A 10,364-nucleotide genomic window follows, 5' to 3' on the forward strand; every position below is an offset into this window, starting at 1 on the left:
AAAATTAGAATCCATTATGCTATAACAATTTATCACTGATAGGTCATTTAAAATGTAAAGGAATTTTTGAAGGAGAGAATTGTAGAAATGCCAGTTATAGCCACAGTCACAGAGCTCTTAATAAGAAAAAAGGCTGATTAAATATAGTCACAGTTTGGAATCTCAAAAGGCATGTACAGAGCCTAATAAATCTGACAACTTTTGAAGACAGAGCATAAAGAATCAGCAGGAGAAATCTAAGGACTAATCTGCCTTTGGATTGAGAACACTTTGAACACGGTACAGCACACAAAAGCCTAATTCACAGGATCAGGAAGTGTACATCATAGAATGAGCACTGAAAACAATCTAGGAAAAGTTGAGATGGTAAAGGGCTTCAGGCAGAAAATATGCTTTAAAATGGATAGCATCTGAGAGAGAGGTTACTCAGATAGTGATCTAAATTTAGACAATTTAACCGTTAATGACTGAGGACAAGGAATATGACACGAGATAACAAAATATGCAATTAATAGGAAATTCAGGCTACTGGTAAGTCCATAAAAAAGTAAAAATAGAATATATTGAATTATTTGACTAGATTTAAACAGGAGAAAGCTTAGTTATAATTATTTTAAATAATGATCTAACACACAAAAATTGTGAGGTAATATAATAAGAACAAGGATAAGCAAAGAAAGAAAAATATTGCTTATACATTCAGGCAAAGATGTTTGTAGAGAGCTGAAAAGTTATTAGGATTTAGCATGTTAAGACCTTGTTTCTAATAACTGATAATAAAATGAAATGACATATAAAAATGTGAATACTAACCAAAATAATGTCAAGTGACACAGACAAAATTTTGAGCAAGAACACTGTTGCCTATTATTCAAAATTGATGTTATATTATTTTGGACCTATAATTTATATATTATTAAAACTTTTATCATTTCTTTAGTTTTTATTCTCAGCCTCAGCCAAGTCTGATGTTAAACATACATGACTTCTCTGCTTCCACCTCTCACCTCTCCCCAACACATGTTAAATATGCCCTAGAATATCTGAATCCAATTATAGGTAAGTTAGCACAGTCAAGTCTACAGTGTTGTACTCTATGAACGTTATATGACATATCCTCATTATTCTCTCCTGAATTTGTATGCTGTAAGTCATTGATGATCCCCATTACAAAGCAGCCCTTTACCAAGGTCTTGCTTTACATGTGAAACTTGTTAAAGTTTTATATATAACTCTATTTCTCACTACCTGTGCCATAGGAACAAGTGAATGAATTTAAGAGTGTGAATAGCCTATAATGGCTTAGTAGGAGATTTCATCAGAACATTTGTATGGCATTATATTGAAGATTCCTGTAGCTAAGATTGCTGCTATTTTTTGAGTGTCTGTGATGTCCAGAGGCACTCTTCTGATGCTTTACACAAATTATCAAATTTAATGCTCACATGAGAAGCTATTAGATAGAAATTATTTTTCCTATTTTATAGTTACATATTTGAGGGACAGAGAAGTAGCTTCCACAAATACAATATTCAATAATTTATTTTTGTCATGGTCAGGATTTTAGCCTTATTTTATCTGTCTTTAAAATGTATACTTGGAACCACTTTGATACCTGTGCACAGAAAAATAGGACAGCAGCAAAGTAAATGGCTCACAACACAATTTTACCTAAGGTCATTTCTCTCCTACTAGGATGTTAGCTGAAGCCAAGATATAGATCATTACTGAAAAAGAACTGTAAAATGTTCTAATCTTGATAGGCTTCAGAAATAAAAGAGATTGTAGGGTGTTTGGTAAGAGAGGCAGCTGTCACTTGCCAGGAAAATGTAATTCTTTCAAAACAATGTCAGAACTTCCTCAACAGAACTGGGTTCATTTACATCAAATGAGGGTTTAAGATAGGTTATTACAAGATATTAATAATATTTAATCCACAGTACATAGCACTAATTGAAGAAACATGCAAATTTTGACCATCGAAGAGACCACTGAAGATAACATTCCCTACTTTATATTAATTTTCTTTGTGAATTTAAGACAGATTAAGAAAAGGTAGGCTGAGCGCAGTGGCTCACGCCTGTAATCCCAGCACTTTGGGAGGCCGAGGTGGGCAGATCACTTGAGGTCAGGAGTTTGAGACCAGCCTGGCCAACATTGGCAAAACCCCGTCTCTACTAAAAATACAAAAATTAGCCGGGTGTGGTGGCTCATGCCTGTAATCCCAGCTACTAGGAAGGCTGAGGCAGGAGAACCGCTTGAACCTGGGAGGTGGAGTTTGCTGTGAGCTGAGATCGTGCCACTGCACTCCAGCCTGGGCAACAGAGCAAACTCCGTCTCAAAAAAAAAAGAAAAAAAAAAGAAAAGGTATGTTATTACTCCATTGTAATATTTAATAATAATCCAATATATGAATACATTCTGCACTTGTTGCATTGCACAATAAAAGTAAATAGTGGCTGATTAAATAAAAGAGACAAAGGGATGTCAAAGGATAAACACTAACAGAGAAAAATTAAGAAAACAATGAAGAAGAGTATATCAATTACAAATAAAACAACAAATACCGAAAAAGAAATAAACATAACCATTCTCTGAAGGGGAAACATCAGGAAAAATTAAATGCTAGAAAGGAGGAGTTCATAATCGTTGTCTTAATTAATAATTTAAACTACTTTAGATAGAACAAAATGAATCACTGGTCTGTATACATTTGATTAAAGAATGTCCCATTGTTCATTGGAAAGCAATTCAGTTCAGGCCAGCAATAATTTTCCAGATGATGTCACTCAGAACTAATTAAAATGAAACACAATTTTAAGAATTTTTAAAAGCAATTTTAGAATAGTTTTAGATTTACATAAAAGTAGTAAAAATTTTAGCATTCTAACAGAACTCAATCTCAGTTTTTTCTATCATTAAAGTTTTATATTAGTATGATACATTTCTCATCATAAACCAATATTAATACTATTGTTAAATAAAGTTTATATTGTCTCCATATTTCCTTAGTTGTTATCTAATGTTCTTTTCTTTTCCAGGATCGTATCCAGATAGCCACATTACAGTTAGCGGTCATGTCCTTAGTCTTCTCTTGGCCATGACAATTTATCAGACTTTCCTTGTTTTGCATGATCTTAACAGTTTTGAGGCATACTGGTCAGGTGTTTTGTAGAATGTTCCTCAATTTTGATTTGTTTGACAATTTTCTTAGACTAGGGTAAAGGGTTCTGGGGAAGAACACCACAGAAGTAAAGTGCCATTCTCACACATCACATCTTATTAAGGAAACATACCATAATGTGACTTATTACTATTGAAGTTAATCTCAGTCACTAGCTCAGGTAGTGTTTATCAAATTTCTCCACTTTAAAATTAGTGTTGTTTATTTTTTTCTTCAATTCCATACAGTACTCTTTAGAGAGTAGCCTATGTAAACCAAAAATAAGAGTCTGTGTCCCCCAACAGATTGAGTGGATGCCCCTCTTGACAGATGGGGTCACAAAGAAACTTCAGGAAGTAGATGAGGCCATGACAGAAAGGTAGGCTGGACTTGCCTCATTTTAACTCTTGCCCTTTGGGGTTTAGACACAACTGGCCAGCATTAACATTAAAATAAAGATCATGAGACTGACAAAACAGACTCTTCATATCAATAATATACCAAATTCTAACCTGACTTTGGTATAGCATCATATGACAGATAACAGGCTCTGAAGAAAATCAAGGTGTTTTACCCCAAAATATATTTATTTGACATATTTTGAAATGGCCCTGCACAGTTATCTCTTGTAGCAAAAATTTGCATTTTGTAGAGACTCTCCTTCCCATTCTAGGTCTTTTCGAGATCCAAGAGAGATGTAACTAAGAGTCTGACACCTTGTAAGTTCCTAAGGTCCAAAAAGACACATTTACCCTCTATTCCCTCTGATACCTGCTACTTAGAGTCTTCATCTACATAACAAGAACCTTGGCTTTCAAAAACCCCTCTACCTAAACCCAAACATTTGTTTCTACTGACTTCAACTCTTTAGGCAAAGCTTAACTCTTTCAACCAATTGTCAATCAGAAAATCTTCAAATCCGCCTATGACTTATAAGCCCCCAAATCATGCTTTGAGATGCCCTGCCTTTCCAGGCTGAATCAAAGTATATCTTATATGTGTTGATTTATGTCTTTGCCTGTAACTTCTATCCCCCTAAAATGTGTAAAACAAAGCTGTAACACCTTGGAAACGTGTTCTCAAGACCTCTTGGGACGGTGCCCTGGGCCAAAGTCACTTGTATTTGGTTCAGAATAAACATCTTTAAATATTTTACAGAGTTTATTATTTTTGTTAACACCTCCAAGCCACCCATTTTTAAGGAGTAAGAAAATATGAATAGCCTCCTTCGTATTTTCAGAATACGAGTATCTGAAAATACTATTTGACTGCTTTGTCTCTGAAATGCTTTCATTATTATGAGTATGTGTGTGTGTATGTGTGTGTGTGTGTCTGTGTCTGTGTGTGTTTTAGCAGTACCTTTCTGCTTCAGTCCTAGAATCAGCCATTTGCCTTAGGATTCTTGTTTTGTTTCATTTTTCCCCTGGATAATATAAAAATATCTAAAAATACATAGAGAAATATATAATAGGTAATATAAAATACACATACATATACACATATATATTCTATATATCCTGAATGCTGAACATATATATCTCTATATAAAAATCTCTATAAATATATATAGTATATATATGTATATGAAATAGAATCTGGACACCAAATGTGCATGTTGTTATGTTGTTACTAGGGCTTACTACTTCTAGGCTCTTTCAGTTGTCAGAACAAGAAAATATACATGTGTATTCTGACACATATATGCACACATGCACATACACATTTATAAATATTCTATATGTGTCTGTCTGTATCTATATAAAGTTAAACATGAGTTCATACTGTTGTTTCAAAATCTAATAGATTACCACATGGGTCATTCTAGCCTTTTTCTCTTGTTTATTCATAATTTATTTAATTATTTATTTCCAATATACATGCATAGTAGATTCATAATTATTAACCTATACCCCTATGGGAAACAACTTTATCAACTAAACACCAGTGCTTAAATACAGCTCTTTTTTTCTTTGATCATATAGATGCCACTCCTTTCCAAAGTTACTTAGACCAGTACTTTTCCCCCACCCAATTACATAAGATTGTTTTGTGCATTTTAATGCTATTAAATTGTTTTGTCACATTCTACTTTTTGTTCTGTGAACAACTATCCTCCTAAATGTTTGTTGTTGTTGTTATTGCTGTTGTTTAATTAATACACATTACATTTCTCTCTTTCTGCTGTAAATTCTATAGGTTTTAACGTGTAGCAACCAGTATTGAATCTTACTGAATAGTTTAACTACCCTAAAAATTTTCTGTGCATTACATACTCAGCCCCCATCCCCTGCTAAACCCTTGCAACAACTGACCTCTTTATAATCTCTGTTGCTTTGCTTTCCCAGAATGTCACATAATTGAAATCACATAATTGAAATCGTATAGTATGTAGCCTTTTCAGTCTGGCTTCTTCTTTCACTTAGCAATATGCATTTAGATTCATCCAAGTCTTTGCATAGATTTATAGATAATTCCTTTCTACCTCTGAATATAATTCCATTTATTGATGCACTACAATTTATTCATTCACTTATTGAAGGGCATTTTGGTTAATAACAGCTTTTTCCTAATTATGAATAAAACTACTATAAATATTTGCATGCAAGTTTTTGTGAGGACATGACTTTCAAACCAATTGAGTAAATATGTAGGAGAATGACTGCTGAAACATAAGGTAAAACAATGTTTTGCTTGGTTGAAAAAAATTGCAAATGATTTTATTTTTTTAAAGTGACTGGACCATTTTTCTTTCCCACCAGTACATAATGAAAGGTTCTGATGTAACTGATATTTTCCATCATACCACCATACCATGAAATACTATTCAGCAATAAAAAGTAACAAACTCTTTATACATACAACAACCAGGATGAATCACCAGAGAATAATTCTGAGTGAAAAGCACAAGAAGCCAATGCCAAAAGATTACATCAGTATGATTCCATCTATACAGCATTCTTAAAATAAAATAAAAAAAAGACAATGAGGAACAGATTTCTGGTTACTGGAATTTAAAGAAAAGATACAGAGGTAAAGAAGTGGGTGTAGCTTATAAAAGTAGCATAAAGAAAAGTTATAATGATGGAAATTTTTTTATTGTAACTGTATTAATGTCAATATCTTGGCTGTATGTTTTGTAAAATATTACCATTGAAGATGGAACTGGAGGCCATTATCCTAAGTGAAATAACTGAGAAACAGAAAGTCAAATACTGCATGTTCTCATGTTCTCACTTATAAGTGGGAGCTAAACAAGAGTACACATGGACATATAGAGTGGAATAATAGACATTGGAGACTAGAAAAGGTGAAAGGGTGGGAGGAGGGTGAGGGTTGAAAAACTACCTATTGGGTACAATGTTTACTATTCAGGGGCTGGGTACACTGAAAGCCCAGAATCCATTACTACACAATATATGCAGGTAAGAAATCTTCACATGTACCTGTAATCTATAAAAATTACAAATAATTAAAAAATAATAATACTGGAGAGAATTTGATAAAGTGGTCATGGAACCTCCATATTATTTCTTACACTTATATATAAATATACAGTTATCTCAAAATTAAAGTTTAAACATGAAAGTAAAATAGTTTTAAAAAATTAGTGACTGAAATGGCAGAATATGGAGCAGGGTTAAGAAGAATGAAAATCCATCAGAGCTGTGTTCTGTGCGTTTGGAAAAATAAGTCCATGGATATTTTGTCCTTAGAGGACAGCTGTGGTAGGTTCATGCTTAGCCTTCACAGTACCAAATTTGGGGGAAGCCTTACTCAGTTGGAATCACATTTCCCAGCTTTCCCCAAGCTGGCAAAATAGGACTGTGTGACTCATTCTAGCCCATAAAATGGCAGCAGAGTGAAATATATAAATTTCAAACCAGAATTTAAGAAGGAAATGTGACTTCACACTTTATCATTTCAGACTGAATGTCAAAACCCAGGGCAATTTTGGAAGTTGTTTTTCTCCATATGGCACATCCTTTGCATTCTGGAACTCCAAAAACTATGTGGAACAGAATGCTGCTCGCCTATCTTGGAATGTCACCTAAGAAATTGTGTTTTTTAAACACTGATTTCAGCCATTTATTTTATTACATATATATTATAGTGTATATTGTTACCATAACAAATATAATAATGTACTATCATTTTCCACAAGACCTGGAGGGAAAGGATAAGACAACAGACACCTGCAGGACATGACAGGCAACATCAAAAAACAAAACAATAATATCACCTTAAAATGCGGATGTATTTGGGATTGTCATTTGAAGGGAAAGTAATATTTCTTGCTAGCCATATAGTTGTTTATGTGATATTGCAACTATTTCACTTAATTAACTCAAATGTTTTGAGAAACTGCTTGTGGAAAACTTCCTCTCTTAAAGTAAATAATAAAGAATGCATTATTATCTGAATGTACAGTGTTTTGTTCATGTAATCCCCATTAACACAAATGAGAACAAGTATGAAATAAATTATTTCTCATTAAAGTAAAACTATGCATTTTAGCATTTTTAGTGTTATATCAAAAAAATACCCTGAGCTGACAATTAAAATAGCCTTAGCTCATTTTCAAGTAATTGGAAAAAATTATCTCCAATACACACACACATACAATAGTGTTTTTCTTTTTTATATCTAGGAAATAAAAATAATTATGGAGGATAATTCTTCATACATTCTCATGATATTTTAATCATTCATCAGATAAAACAAAAGATTTAAAAGTATATACAAATTGGACAAAGTAACTCTAGTGCATCAAGGCGTAACTGGATAAAAAATTATAAAAATAAAATTATAGGGAAATCTGAGAAAAATGACTAATAGAAGTATATAAGATCCACAAATTTTAGAACACAAGAACCCTGAAATATGCAGTTCTTCATGAGCCCTATTACCCTTTGACCACTTCTCCCAAAAATTGTTACTTAGCAACCAGAAAAGAGTATTTCCCTTTTAACTCTACATGATATGCCTGAGTTCAAATTTAGATCTTTAATGCAAATTCATATTATATTATATTAAAATAAATAATTGCCTTGGGAGGTTTCATTAATGAACATGGGACTATTTTCAGACTAGCACTTATGAGTAAATCTCATTTGAGCATGCTAGATAAGAACTTTATTATACTAAATTCTACTTCATGAGTATTTATTTTTGAGGTTTATGGACAGAACCAGAGGAAACCTCCTTTATTCAAGTAATACAGAAGAATGATAATAATAAGCAAAAGAAAATAGTAATGTTAATTTTTATTAAAAACTCTTTGTATCAATAATTGTATTGACTATTTAACTTTTGTTTCTTATTTAGTTTAAAAATTGGGAAAGGTGCCCAATATTATTATATTAAAATTTAGAGCTGAGATTTGAATCCATGTCTCTCTAATTCCATGTTCTTTAACATGTTTGGCACTGAATTCCAACTATTTTCTCTCTCCTCTCCTTTTTAGCCCTCTAAGAAATCATGACTCTGGCCTATTTGAAGGTCCTTTTTAACTGCTCCTTCTCTCTCTTTTCCCTTCACTATTTCTTTCAGTATCTCCCTGCATGCTGAACTTCTGTTTTACTTATGTTTCTGTGGTCATGGATTTACAATTTAGATCACCATAATTACTAGACAGCAGAAAAGATGTGTGTGATGGTACTTAGGAAAATCCATGTGATTTTGAGATAAGAGCAAAAGGACTGTCTTTATGAACTGCAGTATAATCTCAGCAAAAACATAATCAAGAATGTCAGGAAGGCCAGAAGAGGGTAAGAAGTTTTAACTGGGTGAATTAGTTTCCTGTGGTTTCTATGATGAATCACCAAAAGCTAGGTGGCATAAAACAACAAAATTTCTTTTTTTCTCGTAATTTTGAAAGTCATAAATCTAAAGTCTAACCCTCATTCCTCATGAAGAATCTAGGGACAGATGCTTCCTTGGCTATTCCCACTTCTGGTAGTTGTCAGCATTCCTTGACTTTCTCCGCTTGTGGCCACACCATCCCAATCTCTGCCTTGATCTTTGTGTAGTCTTCTCCAGACCCCCTGAAAATTCCCTACTGCCCCTTCTCAGTCAGTAGCTACCAAAAAGAACTATTTTTTTCATGTCTCTCATAAGATTAGTTTGAATCAATAGACTCAAATCAGTGAAATAATTCACAAGTTTAATTTATATAAATCCATACATTTCATATAGACAGCATTTATGTAAATGGAAAGACTATTCATCAAGCTCAAAGAAATAACTCTTTAGTGATGGATGAGAGGAGGTCAGTTGGATTCAGAGCCTCAATAGGATCATTAAAATCATACGGTGTAGGTAATCACCCTTTGAGAGCACTAGTAAGGTGGAGAGGGGAGCGAAACTGGCTGACTTGATGCAGCCAGGAGGAACATCTCCAACCGAGTGACAGGAACATCAGGAAGATTGGCACACTTTGAGCAGATCTTGAGGGAAGGCATTGAGAGTGGATGGAGGGAAAACACAGATGCTGGGCTGAAGGAGGAGGAAACTGGGAACGCTGCATGGGGCTGCCTAAAACTGGGACTTATTGCTGGCACCCAGTGACTCCTGGGGAAGTGATGAGTTGAACAAGTAAGGAGTGGCCTGTTGCTACCATGGATATTGAGAATTCTAACAGCAGGAAAACCCATGACCCCCATGGGCACTTGAGCTGCCATGGTGAGATGCTAAGAGAGGTGGTAGGGGAAGGATTCCAGCCTTTGCAAAGACCAGGGTGTTTGGCACCAGAATGGCTACAGAAGAACATGGCCAGGAATATCTATCCCTGAAGGCTTGTTATGCTCCTCCAGGAGGCTTTAGACTTTGGGTGACTGTCTGATCTGAACAGAGCACAGCAGTCTTTCTGTGGATGGGGCCAGTCCAGTGTGAGCATACCCTGTTTGCCAACCTCTCCTGGCGCCCTAGTCATGCCCATGGGCAGTGCAGCCTTTCCTGGAACCCCTCATTATAGCTACTTTGCAGGCAGACAGTGCTTGACCACTGGAATGCTCCAGCAGACTGGCCTCCACTAATGCACACCAGCCCACCTGCAGCTCTGCACCTGCCAGGGTCATGTTGCCAATCTGCACACACAGGGGCCCTGCCTCAACTGACTCGTCTGCACCCTGTCACACCACCAGGGCTGCTGGCACCCATGCATTAGCATGTATCCTGCTGCCACTATATCAATGTAACACAC

The 10,364-nt window shown here is 34.9% G+C and overlaps 1 annotated feature.

Moving 5' to 3' along the window:
- Positions 9,634-10,135: an enhancer, noted in NCBI's record as "H3K27ac hESC enhancer chr5:100666245-100666746 (GRCh37/hg19 assembly coordinates)". NCBI's record gives its function as "activates a minimal SCP1, AML or CMV promoter by ChIP-STARR-seq in naive H9 embryonic stem cells {active_cell/tissue: H9 hESC(naive)}" and the evidence as "EXISTENCE:reporter gene assay evidence [ECO:0000049][PMID:30033119]".

Source organism: Homo sapiens, chromosome 5 (genome assembly GCF_000001405.40).
Source record: "Homo sapiens chromosome 5, GRCh38.p14 Primary Assembly".
NCBI classification, from domain to species: Eukaryota; Metazoa; Chordata; class Mammalia; order Primates; family Hominidae; genus Homo; species Homo sapiens.